The 19,455-nt window shown below is 40.8% G+C and overlaps 1 protein-coding gene across 10 annotated transcripts in view, besides 1 other annotated feature; it reads left to right on the top strand.

Moving 5' to 3' along the window:
• SORBS2 (sorbin and SH3 domain containing 2) overlaps positions 1-19,455 on the top strand; it is a 370,850-nt gene that overhangs the window by 89,266 nt on the left and 262,129 nt on the right. The gene's annotated exons all lie outside the window — the stretch shown is intronic.
• Positions 3,309-3,411: a silencer, noted in NCBI's record as "fragment chr4:186784850-186784952 (GRCh37/hg19 assembly coordinates)". NCBI's record gives its function as "represses an EF-1alpha promoter that drives an FKBP-Casp9 reporter gene in an ReSE screen in phorbol 12-myristate 13-acetate-treated (for megakaryocytic differentiation) K562 erythroleukemia cells {active_cell/tissue: K562(+PMA)}" and the evidence as "EXISTENCE:reporter gene assay evidence [ECO:0000049][PMID:32094911]".

Below are 19,455 nucleotides of genomic sequence, written 5' to 3'. Positions count from 1 at the left end.
CTGGGAGGCGGGGGTTGCAGTGAGCCAAGCTGGCGCCACCACACTCCAGCCTGGGTGAAAGAGTGAGACTCCATCTCAAAATAAATAAATAAATAATAAAATAAAATAAAATAAACCTTTAATATTTTAGTATACATTGCGTTACTCCTGAAGGAGATCTCTCCTCATTAGAGCACTGTGTTATTTTCTCATAACTCAGAGTCCTGCCTTTATTCCCTTGTTCTGTAATGCCAATGCTTGGGCATAGAATGCACACTGAAACAAGCAATTTGTATTAAGAAATGTACATTTATTGGTGCTGGCAATTCAGGATATGGTAGCAATAGTGATAAAATAAATTGCAAGGTGGCAGTAATCTACGAGTTTTACTGAGGTTTCAAGACAATATTCAAGATAGGAAACAAGTAGCTTGTCATAAAGTATAATTTGTTATGTAGATTAGAACTGTCAATTTTGAGATGGAGAAAAAAGAGAAATGAGGTGAAACTGTCTCTGTTTTGCCTAGAAATAATTCTTTCTAATGATTTGAACTAAAGCAAGCGAATCCGTTATTACCTCCACTGTATAGGATGGAACAAGAAACAGGAGGAAGAAACATGACGCTCTTGAATGGGGCTCATGTCCCTTACAAAATTGAATGTGCATTAAGTGCAATATGCATGTGAGTGTATACTTGTTTTCCATAGGAGGGACAGTTCTATTTAAGTAAAACCCAGTTCCAAGGCAAAGTGTTTAATTTAAATTCAGTCTTCTTACTAACAATTAGGGTAAGTGAATTAAATGAAATTAAGTCTGATTTGGGACAGGTTCTCCATTTCAGCTTCCTGGTAAACACTGCGCTTGGTTTGTTTGCTGAGAGGCTGGGAACACTGGCACATTTAATCTCAGCACTGGTACTCAGGGAACGCTAGCAACCCCGGCCACTCCTTGGTAATCAGTATCTTACAATGACAACTGGCTGGTGACAGGAATCTTTTAACCACAGAAACCAATGCAAGAATTAGAAAACAGAAAACACTCTTAAATATGGCTGCATTTTTTAGGCTTTCTAGGCCTTCTGGAATTTCCTTTGGCAATTTGTACATATCAAAACCTGCATTTCCTGGGCGAGAGTTCACAGAGACCCATGGCAAAAAGCCTAGTTACATCATGCCATTTGAAACCAGTTTGTGGACAGTTGGTATTTCAGAGCCAACCCTGTTTTATCATTAAAAGAAAAATCTCAGCACCTTGTGTAAGATAAATTAAAAGGCATGTTTATCAAGAAAGAGCTAGAATTTTCATAGTACAGTATCTGATAAAAAATTGGGAGCAGACTTTAAAACCCGATGGTGCCACAGCTTGACTAGCGTTCTCTGAGACCAGAACCAGAGGTCACATTATCGAGGACTAAAGAAAAATATAACGTGCTTAAAGTGGAAGGAAACGTCTAAAAGTTAGGCTAAGAGTGCCTTGAAAATGTCCTGAGTGGATGAACTCATTCCTTTAGGAAGGATGTTCTTGAAATGGTGTTCTGTACGTTTCCGTGTTCCCATTCCAGAACTTAATACCCGTTAAAGCCTATAGATCTCCTAAGTCTTTCAGGTTTTGTTCTTATTTTTGTTGTTGTTTTTTAACCAGTTCTCAAGGGAGACCGGTAATAATACATCTGCTGATTTTAGGTCTGAGGTTTGCATATGACACTTCAACCAGGAGGATGATTTCCAATAGAGTTAAATTAGTGGGTGTTGATGAGGATGGGGGAGTGGGGCAAGGAGTGGAAGCCAGCAGGTAGATGCAGCAGCCACAGTGGAGTCCCTGAAATTCCCGCCCCTTGTTCCTGTGCAGGGGGCCGCGGTGCGCTGTTGTCACCGCACCTCTTAACGTTTCCGTCACTTGAGTTGGAGGTTGATAACTAAACTTATGTGAACTATTCTCTTTGAATAATAAAGGGAACTCTAAATTACTCCATCTTGGCAGCCATATCAAAGACAGGAAAACGCAACAGAAAGATGCCCATGGTAATGTCGAAACTGAGCTTTCATTTTGGGAGCTGGGAAGGTAGCAAGAATATGGACCAGGCGGGGCAGGTAAAGATTGAGCCCAAAGCATCGGCTCCTCCTCTTCTGCTGTCCGCCCCTCCCGTTCATCCTTCCCCCATTCTCAGTACACACAACCCACCGTCCAGGATATGCTTTTCTTTTTCTTTTTTTTTTGAGACAGAGTCTCACTCTATCGCCCAGGCTGGAGTGCAGTGGCTTCGTCTCAGCTCACTGCAAATTCTGCCTCCTGGGTTCAAGCAATTCTCTTACCTCGGCCTCCCAAGTAGTTGTTATTACGGGCACCTGACACCATGCCCGGGTAATTTTTTGTGTTTTTAGTAGAGACAGGGTTTCACCATGTTGGCCAGGCTGGTCTCGAACTCCTGACCTCAAGCAATCTGACTGCCTTGGCCTCCCAAAGTGCTGGGATTATAGGCGTGAGCCACCGCACCCGGCCGTTCAGTGATCTATTTGCTCTTACCAAGGCGTTTTCTCTTAGTAAACTGTTAAATAATTCTTTGCCTGCCTCCACTTCCCAAATCTTTAAAATTAAATTTGATGAAGCAAATATAGTGATAGTGGTGATGATTTCAAATCTTCAAATGTAATAGTAAGTTTCAGCTGGATGTTTCTATCCTAGTTTTTTGCTTTATAGAAAAGTTTACAAATCAGCATGTAAAAGTCTTACTGTACAAGTAATAAACGGAGCATCACAAAAATAAACGTGGTCCTTTAATTCTAAGAGACCACTTCTTTTCAGGGCTTTTAATCTCTTTCTTTGAATCTAATGTTTAGTTGTGGGGAAAATTCAATGTGATATTCTTTGCTTCAAAGGTATTTTGTTGGTGGCATGAGTGTTTTTCTTGAGGTATGTTTTTGCCCTTCTGTTACACTCCGGCTTTTTATAGTATAATGAGAACAATGACCTCATTCTCTCCAGTTGATAGTAATAATGGCACACTTTTTATAACTTGAAAAGGCATCTGCTTATTGATAAGAGAGTTAAAATTAACTATAACACAAGAGTTAGCCATTGCATACTTCACCTTATCTTGCAGACCACAATAAATAGGATGGAAAACATGGAAAGCTTGTGGTTAATCTTTGTAAATAATAATCTGTGTTCCTGTAGAGACCTTTATCTTCTTTTTATGCTTTATTTCATAGCTAAAAAATTAAAGAACCCCATATTGTTAAATATAGCCCTTTCTAAATTGTACAAACAACACTAAAATGGGGAGAAAATTAAAGGCTTATAATGAAGAGGTTATATTTAATTCACAATCATAGCATTTGATAGATTAATAAAAATGTAAAAATGGACAAGCTGATTTTTCACACTTTGGAGGTGACACACATCTTCCACCTAGGTCCACACTCCAATTACAGTTTCTGAGTATGTCTGCTTAGAAATCATAAAAATACCATTAAAACTGGAGGTTTAATTCTAAACAAGAAGAAGGATGATAAATGAATTTAAAGACCCTGGCAAGATAAAAAACTTGAAAACTGAATAATGAAAATAATCCTATGCAATAGCACTGGTATTTCTAAACTAATCTGTGAAATAACTCAATTCTAAACAAATAAGAAGACAGTATATTAAACATGTGGTCTTTTGTTTATGAATTAAAGCTGTGAGTATATTGAATTGGAGATAGTGATAAATTCCAGAAGGAAATAAGCATAGGACGTTGCACAGTACTGTAATGATCCATCCATGTACCTGTCTCCCTAACTGAATTAAAATATCCTTATAGGACTGCATATCATTTTTATCTCTTTTTCAACCTCAGTACCCGACATTGCCTGGCACACACAGGCACTCAATAAAGGTCTATATTATACACATTGTTGAAAGAAGGCAGATCCCATCATTCCTATTCTAGGCCACTGCTCTTTAAAAATGTTTAATGCCGTGTTTCCCCTAATGTAAAAATGCAAATCCAGGTGGAGGGACGTGCCTTTAGTCTAATTAGCATGGTATACCTTAACATAATAATTTAAGGTTCTTGAGAGCTTCTCAAGATTCCTTCCGTGTCCCACCTCTCCACTGGCCTGGCGTGCAGTGCATTGGCACAGGCAGGGATGAGGGGGCATAGAGGTAGGCACTAGACCCGTGAGCAGGTTTGACTACAAGAGTCCCAGGGGCTCTACAAGAGAAGGCGGATGGGTACTAACAAATTGTACCAGCTGCCCAACTGTAATTATGTTCAGGCTTAACCACCAATCCAGAGGTGTCAGGTGTATTTGAGGAGGGAAGACAGCCCCACCACCACCCTCAGTGGAGGGGAAACAAGAGGGGGACCTGAGGTTGAAGGGCAGAGGAAGAAGAGGCAAGCTTCCTCACACCAGGGCAAAAATGATCATGTAACGTGGAACATTCATCCAGGAAATATGTATTTCTTGCATATTGTGTGTGAAATACTATTAACTGTTTGAAAAATACATCACAGGCAGTGGCTGCCTTCAGTGAGCTAAGAGTTTTGTAAAGAAGTCAAGGGCTTAGTTAAGTGCACCGCAAGGTAAGCAGTGATCTCAGCCACCAGAGGGATCTAAGTGGACCTTGTGTTTAGGAGGAGAAATTCCCTTGGCAGCCATGCCATCATGGCGAGCCTGGACTCCCATCTTGGGACCCACCAGTTCACAGTCCTTACTGTAAAATAAATGCAATTTGCTCAAAGTCAAATATATCCTGTCGCTCTCATGCCTCTACAACCTGTCAGTAGCCATTCTTCATTGCTTTTCACATCACTGAAACCCCATACCATGTCCTACAAGGCTCAAGGCCCTGCAGAATCTGCCTGTGTGCAGTTTGAAGCTGCAAAGCCTGGCACCTTCACACCGGATCTGTAGTCACGGCCCAACACCTACTGGGTCCCCCTGTTGCTGTTGCTCTTAGTAATGCTTCTCTCTCTCTTTTGCACTTGCAAGCACACACACACACACATATACATACACTGTTTTTTATTCAATTTGTATAGTGTTTCTGGAAATTTTCTTCCTCTGCATACTCTCTACTCCGGTAGTTGCTGTGGTTGTAATGCTCTCCTCCCTGCTCCCAGCACCTTGTTCATGCCACCGTCATCTCTCATCCGGACTATTGCCAGCCTTGCCCAGCTTCCAGTTGCCCCCTAGTATCAAGTATCCACACAGCAGGCAAAGTGTTGTCTATAAAATAGAAGTCAGGGCTGGGCGCAGTGGCTCACGCCTGTAATCCCAGCACTTTGGGAGACTGAGGCAAGTGGATCATGAGGTCAGGAGTTCAAAACCAGCCTGGCCAAAAACCCCATTTCTGTTAAAACTACAAAAATTAGCCAGGCACAGTGGCAGGTGCCTGTAATCCCAGCTACTTGGGAGGCTGAGGCAGGAGGATCGCTTGAACCTGGGTGGCAGAGGTTGCAGTAAGCCAAGATCGCACCACTGCACTCCAGCCTGGCAACAGAGTGAGATTCCATCTCAAAAAAAGAAAGAAAAAAAAAAAAATAGAAGTCAGATCTTTTTCCACCCCTTTAATTAAAATGCATCTGGAATAAGATCCAGATTCCTCTCTGGGACCTCTAAAGCACTCTGTTAGCTGCCTGCCTTCTTTCTCCTCCTCCAGCCTCATCATTTGAATCCTTCCTGTCCTCCCACCTACACTAGCTTCCTTTTGGTCTCTCAAGCACTCAAAACACATTCTGACTGCACAGACTCACACATTCCGTATGCTCATGTAAACCAAAAATAAAATTCTAAGCCCCCCACCCGACTGATGGACCCCACCCCCCATTTTCAGCGAAGGACATTCCAAAGAAACCTTCACCTTCAGCCAAGGGCATTCCAAAGAAACCTGAAAACATTCGTTCAGGCCACAGTGGGAAGTGGAAGTTGAACATCCCTCCTTATACCCTCCTACCTTTGGAGTTCAGGCACTGACCAGCATGAACATTAAAACAGAAATCTGCCGACAAAACAGACTGTTTATAGCAATGATGCCAACAAGATAGACAGCAGGCCCTGAAAGAAGTTGAAGTATTTTACCCCAAAATGTATTTCTTTGACATCTTTTGAAATGGCCCAGCAAAGCTGTCTCATGGGGAAAGTCTGCATTCTACAGAGAACCCCTTTCCCTTTCCATGATCCAAGAGAGAATAAGCTAAGAGTCTGGCATCTTTTTAAGTCTGATAAGGAACATTTACCACCTACTGTCTCTGAAGCTTGCTACTGGAGGCTTCACCTTGGTTTCCACGACCTCTTATCTTCACCCAGACCCTCCTTTCTATTGAGTCCAGGTGTTTAGATAATAACCTAACTTTTTCAACCAACTGCCAATCAGAAAGTCTTTGAATCCACCTGGAAGCCTCCCACCTTCGAGTTGTCCCACCTTTCCAGACTGAACCAAAGTACACCTTATATGTCTTGATTGATGTCTTATGTCTCCCTAAAATGTATAAAACCAAGCTGTAGCCCAGCCACCTTGGGTACATGTCCTCAGGACCCCCTGAGGCTGTGTTATGGATTATGGTCCTCACATTTGGCTCAGAACAAGCCTCTCCAAATATTTTACAGAGTTTGACCCTTTTCACCAACACCAAGAACATTCTTCTCGCAGATGCTCCCACAACTCTTCTGTTGAATGGGGCTTCAGCGTGAGTGCCAGTTCCATGTGAGGCCCTTTCTAACCAGCCAAGCTAAAGCCAGCCCTCAGGCACTGCTTTGTCACGTGCTCTCTTTATTGTCTGCATGGCACTCATTATCGAAATTGTCAACTATTAATTTGTTTACTTGTTTGTTTATTTACCATCATCCTCTGCTCTGGAATGCAAGCTTGTTAGGAAGAAAAACCATATCAACCTTATTCATCCAGTAGCTGGTGCAGTCTTTGAGACTTATAGGGTTCAACAGTTGCTTCCCGAATAAATGAGCCAGTTTTCTTTCTCTTGCTCTTCTCCATCTCCATTTGCTCATTATATTTTGTGTGATCCTTTTTCGTATGTAGTGGAAAGTTTTCTGGAACCTGCACCTGCTTATACAATTACAAGTGACCTTTTATGTATGGACCACCTTTAAGCAACCTCCAATGTTAAAAAGGAAAAATATGTTAATAATAAATTATGGAAGGATCTTGAGCATATTGTTAAAAATTTAAATACTTAGTGTCATGTTTACTTACCATTCATCTCTCTGCATGACTCACAGTGTTTGCTTCTTTACCTGTTCATTGTCTCTAAGCACCTGCTTTTGGAACTAATTGCCATCAGCACCTTAGTTTTTTGTTGATTATGCATTCCCTGTAGCTCCAAGTTTCTATTGCCTCTGCCATATGCTCCCATTTATTCACCATCTTTTATAGGTCACCCATTGTGCCCTGGGCGGTGAGAAACAAAGGTGACTTAAAAATGATCCCTGACCTCAGGAGGCTTACAAACTACTAAAGGAGATGGGTACATAAACCAGCAAAAACAATATGTATCATAGGGTCTAGAATACACATATTTATGGGGAATCATGGGGGCCCAAACAAGAGAGAGTGGTCAATTTTCCATGAGAATGAGGGAGTCAGGAATGCTTTAGGGAAGAGTGATCTTGCAGAGGAGAACAGACGTTCCTAGCAAGGAAGCGAGACTGGCAAAGGCTGGAGTTGTAAAATCGCCCAGCACTTTGAGGAACTGCACAGAGTGTGGGAAACGCAGGGTGTGAGGGAAGTGGATTAAGAGATAAGAGAGAGGCAGGCACAGCGTGGAGGAGCAGCTGGGAGGATAAGGTATGCTCTGCTGAAATATTTCAGTTTTGTCTCATGGGAAAAATAACCACTGAAAGTGTTTATTTTCTACCCTAAGGAATCCCAAGAAAGTCACAGTCCATTCACAGAATGAATTCTTTGTCTTCAAGTTTTCCGACTGAAATAAGTCCCGTTATGGCCATTAGTATATGTTTTTAAAGACCCAGCAGAAACCTCCTTACAAACAATAGACTCCTTAACCTCCAACAAGCCAAGTATGTTGTTGTTTTCTTGGCAATTTCCTGCAACATTTTTCTCATGCTTGTTTTCGACTAGCCTTTTGGGTTCACCAAAACCTTGTATATACTCATTATATTGTGTAAGTGGACTACAATCTCAAAAATGAGAAAATTTCAAAGGTTTTACAGGAACTAATAAATAATCAGTAATTTCAAGGCATCAATAGAGACTGTTGCAAATCTCCAGACTCCTGTTGATGTTCTTAGCCTGATTTTGCTTTTACTGCAAGAAATAAATGAAGTTGTCACAAGGAAAGAAAATGAAAAGTTGTCACATTTTTTCCATACCTTTTAGATTTTCTCAAATTATTACAAAGATAATGTTCATGAAGCCAATTAATTCTTTAGTTAAAACGTGTTCAGTTTTATGTTTAAAAGTAGATTTTGATCTTAATCATCATGGTAGGTGATGTGGGTTTCTTTAAGCCTTGTCTGTGTCTCTCCCTTAGTGGCCCACTATGAACTTGCTTAAGAGATGTCAGTGCTTATGGCAACCTCAGCTAAAAGGCACCTGGTGGAAAGGAAATGTGGCAAATGGCAATCTGAAATACCCAACATGTGCTAAGCATCTTATTTTACCATGATTTTTTTCTGCTGCATAAGGGAGAAAGGGGAGAAAAAGTGAGATTTAAAAATACAAAATTAAGTGGTTATCTTAGTTTGTTTTCTGTTGTTCTAATAGAATACCAAGACAGAATGATTTATAAAGAATTGAGGTTTATTTAGCTCACAGTTCTGGGGGCTGGGAAGTCCAAGACTGGTGAGGGCCTTCTTCTTTACATGGTGAGAAAGCAAGAGCTTTGGAGCTCAAGTCTCTCTTCCTCTTCCTATAAAGCCAACTACTGGGGGAACCAGCCCCCAATATTTCAACGTAGGTTCTTTTCTATTTTCCCTAAGTGTCAGCCGGTCTGAGAAATAGAGAGAAAGAGTACAAAGAGAGAAATTTTACAGCTGGGCCTCCAGGGGTGCCATCGCATATTGATAGGACCGTGATGGAGACCTCGAGCTGCAAAACCAGCGAGTTTTTATTAGGGATTTTGAAAAGGGAGGGGATGTATGAACAGGGAGTAGGTCACAGAGATCACATACTTCAAAGGGCAATAAAAGATCACAAGGCAAAGGCAGAGCAAGATCACAAGGCAAGGGCAAAATTAGAATTACTGATGAGGGTCCATGTCCTGCTGGGCATGCACTGTCTTGATAAACATCTTAACAGGAAACAGGGTTTGAGAGCAGACAACTGGTCTGACTAGAATTCACCGGGCTGGAATTTCCCAATCCTAGTAGGCCTGAGGGCACTGCAGGAGACCAGGGCGTATTTCATCCCTTATCTCAACCGTATAAGACAGACACTCCCAGAGCGGCCATTCATAGACCTCCCCACAGGAATGCATTCCTTCCCCATGGTTATTCCTTGCTGGGAAAAGAATTCAGTGATATTTCTCCTACTTGCTTTCTGCAAGAAGGAAAATATGGCTCTATTCTGTCCAACCCCACAGGCAGTCAGACCTTATGGTTATCTTTCCTTGTTCCCTGAAAATCACTGTTATTCTGTTCTTTTTCAGGGTGCACTGATTTCATATTGTTCAAACACCCATGTTTTACAATCAGATTTCATATTGTTCAAACACACATGTTTTACAAACAATTTGTACAGTTAACACAATCATCACAGGGTCCTGAGGTGACATACATCCTCAGCTTACGAAGATGATGGGATTAAGAGATTAAAGTAAAGACAGGCATAAGAAATTATAAGAGTATTGATTGGGGAAGTGATAAGTGTCCATGAAATCTTCACAATTTATGTTCAGATACTGCAGTAAAGACAGGCATAAGAAATTATAAAAGTATTCATTTTGGGAACAATGTCCATTAAATCTTCACAATTTATGTTCTTCTGCTGCGGGTTCAGCAGGTCTCTCCATTCAGGGTCCCTGACTTCCTGCAACAGCCACCAGTCCATCATCATGGGAGCCCCATACTAACGACCTTATATAATCCTAGTTACTTCCTGTTATGGTCTGGCTCTGTGTCCAAAACCCAAATCTCATCTTGAATTATAATCCCTATGTGTTGAGGAAGGGACTTGGTGGGAGGTGATTAGATCATGGGGCAGTTTCCCCCAAGCTTTTCTCATGATAGTGAGGGAGTTCTCATGAGAGCTGATGATTTCAGTGTGGTACTCCCTCGCTTTCTCTTACACGCTCTCTCCTGCCACCTTGTGAGATGTGCCTTGCTTCTCCTTCATCTTCTATGATGATTCTAAGTTTCCTGAGGCCTCCCCAGCCAGGCAGAACTGTAAGTCAATTTAAACCTCTTTCCTTTATAAATTACCTAGTCTTGAGTATTTCCTTATAGCAACCTGAGAATGAACTAATATACTTCCCAAAGGCCCCATCTCCAAATGCCATCAACATATGAATTTGGGGGTTAAATTTCCACCACATTAAATTTGGGGCATATTTCAAACCATAGCCATAGTAAAGGAAAATAGAATATTTTAACTTATGATCCTTTTTTAAAAAAAGTTACTGGAGATGCTTTAATGCTATCAAAAATCTAGAGATTTATAAAGCTCACAAAGGATTTAGCTGTAGGCAAGATAGTGGGGTCATAAATGTGGGAGTTTCAGGGAAGAAGTGACTTCTATTGTGTGTCTCCTACATGCCAGGCAGAGGTGTAGGCATATTAATTCTTAATCTTATTTATTATTTGCTATAATTTTGGATGGCAGTCAGATGGTATTCTTGGGGTTTTACCTAAAAGGAAGCAAAAACTCAATGAGTTAAGAAACTCGCCCTGGTCACATAGAGCTGTGTGGGAAGAATGAAATTAGAATCTGGCCTGATCATGAAACCCATGATCTTTCTACTGCATGACACTGCTTACTGTAAACTAGGAACATCCTAGTTAAGATGCATGCTTTAAATTGAACATTGGACTAAATGAATAACAGAACGGAATGTGAGAAATGCACTGATTTGAACTCCTGTGTTTGTTTGAATCATATACATTTTCAGAAACAGCTAAATTTGAGTGGAAAATACAACAGTGTTGTAATCCAAAATGTCAGTTTATACCTGACTTAACATTTATTGTGCTATGTGCTGAGAATCCCAAAGGCACATTTAATTTTATTAAACACAGTGATTCATTCCATAAACCTAACAGCCAAGGCAGTGCCTTGTCATCTTTTGACAACTTACCATAGTTTACTTCAAGTAACTAAAAGAACATGGCATCTTCATGCTAACTAGGGTCCCAGATGTAAATGACAACAGCAAACATCTTAGATAGGATGTGTGGTGGTGAAGGAAGACTTTGGTGCGTAATAAGTTATATGATGGATTTGGTGGGAGTCCCAGTATCTTATGAGGGTACAGACACATGGTTTCTATTCTGTCTTAATTCCTGGTGATTCTTCAGTGTTTGTATTTACCAAAGATAAATAGACCTTTCTTACTTTGCTTTTAGAAAATGCTTTCCCGAATGGTTTTTCAGAGAAGAAAATTTGTTACCAGATCAATGTACTTAAGGAAATGAAAAGCCCTTGATTAGCAGCCAAGGAGCCTCCTAATGAAATGACATTTCCCTCCAGGGATTTCAAGTGGTTAATAAAATCTAGTGTTCTCGGTGTAAAGTGCTTATGTTTGCTATGTCTGCTATGTGCTGTTCTGAGGTACACTCATAAACATTGATACATTAAGTGGAGCCCCAAAATAGATGAATGTGTGTGTCCACGTATGTACTGGAGCAGAAGCTTTATCTACGTCTCACACCTGAGTTGTGTAGTTGAAGGTAAATTTACCCTATGCACAGCTTCAAATGAACTCTTCATAAACCTGACGCCTTCAGAGGGGAAGGCCTCACTTACTAACCTGAAAACAGCAATAGCTCCTAAAATCCTGAGGAGAATGTAAGACTGTATTTCAAGGAAAAACTATGCCCTGGACCAGACAAAGCAATTAATGCTTGGAGAAACTAATAGTCTCTGATGGTTTCTACAGAGGCAAATAAACCATTAGACTGGTCTTTATTATTATGTCATTTAAGTGTGTATATAAATATATAACGAGATTATTGTCTTTATGATGTCTTCATATAAATGTGTGTATATAAAATGCTCTTATTTTAAGTCTTAGAAACCCACTAATTCTAGTGGAAAGCATTTTAATGTTACAGGAGAGTTTCACAGCACTCAAGGGCAAGGATGCATTTGGAATCAGGGACTAGCACGTTCTCTCTCAGTAAACTAACTAAGGCTCTCTCTCTCTCTCTCTCTCTCTCTCTCTCTTCTCTATTTCTCTTTGTGCAGCTTCTTCATTCCTCTTTCTTGTGGGGATTTCTGTAGCCTCCACAAGAATTGCTAGTTGGGCATCTTTCCCATTAAGAGAAACACTTTGAGAGTAGAATCTCTTAACTTCAAATGCAGATTCACAGTAGACAGATTTCATTCTATTAAAGCATTGTGATTCATTTCACAAACTGAATAACCAAGGCAGCGCTTTGTCATCTTTTGACAAAGAACCATACTATACCCTAAGCGACTGAAAGAAAACAGTATTCAATGCTAAGAATATCCCATATGTGAATTACACCAACTGTGTTCCTTGCCTGGCTTCAGACATCTGCCGTTCCCTGAGACAGTGAGCTGTAGCCAGGAGCATGTCACTGGGCCAGTCTAATGATACGAGGACAGGCTTACTTCCCCTCAAGAAGAAGATGTGGTGAAGAAGTTCCATTTTTCTACTTCAGTGACCTCTTAGAGTTAGATTTTAGTTCAAATGGGACCACTGCATTTCGTAGCCAAGCTTAAAAATGAACAATTATTACTGTTAGTCTTTTTCATATTTCCTGTGAATTTGTCCCTGCCTAGAATGTCCACTCCGCCACCCCCTTGCTGACCCATCACTCACCACCTCCAGAGCTCAGCTCAGGTGCTGCTTCCTCTGGGCTGACTTCCTCAACCACTCCCCTCTGTACTTCCATGACACCTGATTGTTCATTCTTTAAAGAAACGCTTGTCACACTCTTTAGTATAGAACCTGTTTGAAGACTGTAATGGATGATTCACGTATGGAGTATTTCATTTCAGAGACTATTCTTAAACTCTGACTCCTATAAGTAACCAGAGTAACATGTGAATAACACATCTTTATTTCCTTCATCCATTTGGTGTTCACTGAAAGCTTTACCAAAAGTCCCAGACACAAAGACTTCATAGTTTTGCCTTCATTTTAGTAAATACAAAAATGATTTTCCCTCTGTTTCTTCCTCAAAACTCATTCCAGGTTCTTAGACAATCAGCTCCATTTAAAAAAATTATTTTGGAACACTCGCCATGTTTCTACTCCAAGTCTGAGGCATAATATTTTATGCATTTCTTTTATAATACCATATACACATATCTGGGAGAATGTTTGAGAACTTTTACAAATACAATATAGAGAAACAAAGTTTGCACTTATAGCTCACATTAAAAATAAGTTTGCATATTTCTCCCCAAAACTGGGCAGAAGGTGTACCTCATTGGTGTATCCCTCTCATGTTCTCCTTTTTATACTCACAAGAAAGAAAGCATTATCCAGCTGCCCTAATTGGCCCCCGTGTGAATAGCTATCCCAAGTACATTTCTTGGGGTGCATTTGGGGTGTCGTAGAAATTCTGTATATGAACGAACTAGAAGAAGCCGAGATCATGCCTTAAAGAATACCTCAAAGATAGCATACTTCCTGCTTATATATATATGTATTTGGAAAAGGATACATACTTTGTCCTATAAAACATTGTAGAAGTGGTTTTATTTCTTTTAGCTTTGATGTTTCATCCATAAAATAAGCCTCATCATACCTCACTCCCCAGATGGTTGTGATGGTCGCTATTATTTATCTGAAACTCCAAGCATATATTATCATTTCCTTCCCCTTTTTCTTCAAGTTAAGGATGGCACTGAGAAGCCAGCTCAGGGTCACCACTAGACATGTGCAGGGAGAAGGTATTTTACATGCTGTACATACACATACTCATCTCCTGTATATTTGTGGGAGTTTATTTCCACTAACCCACTCCCATCACTTATATTTAAAGTGTAGTGACCTTCATGATTTCCTCAGGACCCCTGCAGGGTGGCAGGCACAAAGGGAGAGTGAACACCAGGACCAAGGGGTCAAACAGAGACCCAGCATCCTCAAGTGGTGATTTGCGTGGTGGTAAATGATTTAAAGCACTGTTTTTATGTTAATTCAAGTAAACAAAAAGAGAAACCACAAAAACATTGTGTGCCAACTCTTCCCAGACACCATGGTTTCAGTCCACATGCCTCTACTCTTGGGGTCGTGGGTGGACTTGAGAAGCCCGCTCTACTGAATATTAGAAAGAGCTGTGAGCAGAATAACCTACCGCAGAGGCTAGAATTTGGCAGCCCACAAATTCCATCTGAAGTGCAACTCGAATGTGGAAATCAGTTTTTCTCTTTAAAATTTTTCCTATCATTCAAGGAAATCTCTAGAAAGCTACAGCCATATCAAAACCGTGGAACATAACACTACAAAACAACCAAATGACCTGAGTTTTCTAGGATAGACTCAAATTAAAATGTTCCCATGAATATGATTGTATTTGTCAGAGTATGGACTCCATTTTTTGGTTGGTGACCTTACCTATACCTATGGAAGAAGCATATGATCTGGGACTAGAGAGAATAGTATCTCACTCTGCAGATACCAGTCTAGAATAAGAGGTAGCATTGAGGTTGGTGAACCTACAGCAATGGGCTGAAAGCGCTAGTCCTTAAGCTATTTTCTGTTTCATCCTGCCTGAGAGATGAGTGACTTAGTGGCCTTAACAGAGGGTGTGTTAGAATGTAAAAAATAGGAGCCGAATTTACAGTTTTAGAGAGTGCCCTGGGGATGTTTACAGGGATCGGCTGCCTGTAGCTGTGTTGACTCCATGGATTTTTGTTGCTATGCTAAACGTATTAAAAGCTTTGAATTATTGTACCCTGAAAGGATTTGTTCATTCATCAAACAATTATCTTCTGGTATAAGCTAAGCTCTATGTTATGCAAGGGTCCCTGTTACATACATGAAGTTTTTCTCTACAGTCTTATATTAGTCAGGGTTCTGTAGAGGGACAGAACTAATAGGATACATATATGGGAGTTTATTAAGTATTAATTTACACAGTCACAAGGCCCCACAATAGGCTGTCTGTAAGCTTGAGGGGTAAGGAGAGCCAGTCTGAGTCTCAAAACTGAAGGACTTGGAGTCTGATGTTCGAGGGCAGGAAGCATCTAGCATGGGAGAAAGATGAAGGCTGGGAGGCTAAGCCAGTCTAGTCTTTTCACATTCCTCTGCCTGCTTTTTATTCTGGCCGTGCTGGCAGCTGATTAGATGGTGCCCACCCAGATTAAGGGTGGGTCTGCCTTCCCAGCCCACTGACTCAAATGTTAATCTCCTTTGGCAACACCCTCACAGACACACCCAGGATTAACACTTTGCATTCTTCAAGCCAATCAAGTTGGCACTCAGTATTAACCATCACAAGTCTTTTACACGATGTAATATATATATATGTGAATATGATTTTAAAAAAATCCCAAAAGGACAGCTTGTAAGTGCAACCCCTTGCTTATTCCTGTCTCATAGAGATGACCGTGAGTCAATCCACCTTTCCTTTATAATCATATTATTATATTTCCTTAAAGGAACGTAAAAGAATATGGAACCACTTTAAAAAATACCTGTTTCTAAATAAACTTGTAAACACCAAATCATGGTCTTTGTGGTAGTTGAAGGTGAATTTCTTCATGTCTGGGAAGATACAGGTTTTCCGAGTTTAACAATAGCCATGTCAGAGGCAAAATATGAAAGATAAGCTACTCATCTTCTCCACTCTAAATGATTTTTAACAAGTGCACCTGGTATCAGCCGAGGGTCCCCAGAGAATATATGTTTTATACATAAATATGGAGATTTATTATAGAAATTGCTTCATGTGATTATGGCAGCCAGGAAATCCCACGATCTGCTGTCTGCAAGCTGGAGAACCAGGAAAGCCGTTGGTGTCTCAGTCTGAGTCTGAGAGCCCAAGAACCAGAAGCACCAACATCTGAGGGCGGGAGATAGATAGGTGTCCCAATTCAACCTGAGAGGGAGTGAATTTACCCTCGTGTGCCTTTTCATTCTATTCAGGCCCTCAACAGATGAGATGATGCCCACACACCCTGGGTAAGGTGGATCTTTTTTATTCAAGTCTATCAATTCAAATGCTCATCTCTTCCAGAAACACCCTCACAGACACACTCAGAAATCACGTTTCACCAGCTATCTGGGCATCCCATAGCCCAGTCAAGTTGATGCATTAAAATTAACCATCACATGCTCTTAAGCATATTTCAACCCGACTCAATAGAACTAGAGTCTTGTAAAACATATGATATACACACTTCAGTGGTTTTCAGCACAGGCAGTTGACCAGGCTTACTTGTTCAAAGAAGAGAAGATGGGTTTTTAATAGCACTCACAAATCAAATTCATTAAGTCCCTATTTTGATGTAGGAGAACAGAGCTATCATTGCAGCAAAATTTTCCAAGGCCAGTGATGCCAGGATACCAAGGAGCTACATGCTGTCATTTGCTTGGGTCTCTCTGACAACCATGAAGACACTGTCCTCTTTCCCTCTAACAACTTGTTTGTAAAATTGTTAGACTCTCGACATATGGGACAAGTCAGCAGAATGTTAGACTTCCTATAATATCTCAGCAAGACTGCCTTGAGAACTCATGGCATGTGGATAGTTCAGGGAGTTGTGTGTTTTTCCCAACTCAGTCATTACCAATTGTACATCCCACATGAAAGTCACTTTAGCATTTTTCCATATTTTAGGGGGAAGTGGTGACTCATGCCCGAGGGGCAGGATGAGAATATAGGTCTCATAGGCATCTTCAAACCAGGTTCGCCTCTGCTCCACATTTGTGCCATGAAAGAGCTTCGTTTCATAACAAGCCAGAGACCAATTCTAAATCAGTATCTGCACAGGCCTGAAGAATTGAAGGCTTATGCAATAGCAGTCATTGCCAGGGTGGGTGTGGATCAAAACGCAACGTAGAAATCCTTACGCCATTGCAAGCAGCTTGTCTCCTCTGCCCCAGTTGTTCTTGTAATTTTAACAACCATATGCTTATCTTCTGTTTTCTGGCAGCCTAGAACTGTTCTTCATTTCTTTTTTAGACTCAATAGAAATTAAGTGGTTTGGCCATCAACATTCCTGTCTGTCGTCTCTCAGTCTTCTGTGAACAGGACCAGATGGAATAAGCTCTTTGATAGTTACACATTCATTGGAATTGAAAAAATGGGCAGCTGATTTTCTATTTTATAGGCAAAGTCCCAGGCCTGCCCCTGTGAGAGTGTGGCCTGCTGGGCTACTGTCTTATTCTGCAACAAGGGGTGAAGCCACAAAGATTATGTCTAAAAGAGTAATCACAGAGACAGGACAGGGTTTAGGCAGAAGCAAGAATTTCAGAGCATGTGAGTGAGGAATTATCTGCACTGGAGTGGACTTATTTTATAATGGGAAAATTCTCAGAATCTCAAAAAAAAAAAAATGGCAGGGAGAGGAAGAGTGGCAGGCGACAATCTAACCCAGTTTGTGACTTGGAATTCATAAATTCTTTATCTGTCGATTGGACAGAAATAATGAAAAAGACTTTTTTCATTAAGGAAAATCCTACTTCAAAATACAATGGGCTGAGCCTTGCAGTGTCTCAAGTCGGAATTCGCAGTGGGTTTGGGGAAGCTCTGGTGGCTCCACTGGGTAGTGTCTGCTCTCTAGAATGGCAACAGGGTCAACAAGGGTGTGCCAAGATGCCAGGAGCTTTATTAGACCCTGAGCAGGAAAAAGCTACTCTTTCAGTCTGATGGAGCCCTAATCTGACAGGGTCCTGGAACAACAGTGCTTGTTTCAGTAAGGGCCAGCTATATAAGAGGTGGTTCTAACATCATTCTCGTGATTGATGGGCATTGTCCAAAATAAACAAAACAACCAACCTTTTCGTACCACCTAGCAGCTGTCAAGTCCCTGTGTCACAGATGTGTCACTACTGTGTGCTTCTTTAATATAAATAAGCCACAGCTAGTGAAAGGGCTACAAGAGATATTTTAGTTTGGTTCATCTCACTGCATCTAATAATCTCAAGTAACTTGAAAATGTTTAGGATATATTATCTATAGAAATGAAACAGTACTGAACCCAGCAGACTTAACCGTCAGATAAAAGGCTCAAACTATGTCAAGAAATGTCCTAGACAGGTATGGTGGTGGCTGCCTGTAGTCCCAGCTACTTGGGAGGCTGAGGTAGGGGGATCCATTGAGCCCAAGAGTTTGAGTCTAGCCTGAGCAATGTATGGAGACCCTGCCTCTTAAAAAAAAAAAAAAAAAAAAAAAAAAAAAAAAAAAAAAAAAGAGATATCCTTATAAAGAACATTTAAAACCTGGACTTAATTCTGAACCACTAGAATACTAGAATCTTCATTTGTGTGACAGTTTTTCTAAGACTTTTTTAAAAGTTTACCTTTCATAAATTTGCATCCATTTGAATTTTTATTTGCATTCAAGTTGATTTCCTGGTTTCAAAATCAGTCACAGCAGTTGTTGACATGGAAAAAAAATTTGCCAAAGCAAAAGTTGAGATGGTGTGTCACAAAGGATTTCATGAACTAAAAGTTACCATTCCTTGTCCAATAACTTTTACTTCTCTTTTATTCCATGATATTAGGGGTTCTGTGGTTAAAGGCACTCAGGAATCCCTGCAGGTTGGCTTTCCCCAGAATACCCTTGAAGCCCAGAATCATCATGGGGACCACTACAGACTTGACCTGGATCCTAGGGCCTTTATGAAAAAGTCATCACCGCGCATCCCCTTCTCTGCCTCCATTCCACTGTACTCATATAATTTCGGGGTATCTGAGACTGCAGCTTAAAGCATCATTCTCAAGGAGTCTCTGAGTCTGTCGAATTTTCTGGGTGGCCCCAATCCCAAACCATGACCTGGGGACAAATTTGGGGGTTCTTAAATTTCTGGGAGAGTTCAGATCCCACAATTCAGGCCAGGTCAGCCCTGCGACTCGGCATGAATGTGAGAAGCCTGCGGAATGCCAAAGGACTGATAGCTGTAATCTGAGACATGCTGTTTGCTCTTTGATGAGACTAGCCATCAAAAACGATAGCAGAAAAATCTCAATCCTTGCCGATGAAGCCAGTTTCTACCTGATGAACAGATCTCCTAAGATGTGAGCCCAGTGCTTCTTCAGTTCATTCCAGGGCTCTAGGGTACAACTTACTGCTTGGAATAACTCATTGCTAAACAGTCTGCAGGGTTTAAATTGTCACATTCCTTATGGAGTCAAGGTTGCTATAATCGTTGCTGCCG

This window comes from Homo sapiens, chromosome 4, assembly GCF_000001405.40.
Source record: "Homo sapiens chromosome 4, GRCh38.p14 Primary Assembly".
NCBI lineage: Eukaryota > Metazoa > Chordata > Mammalia > Primates > Hominidae > Homo > Homo sapiens.
The sequence above is the reverse complement of the archived record's forward strand: the minus strand, read 5'-3'. Positions and strand labels throughout refer to the sequence as shown.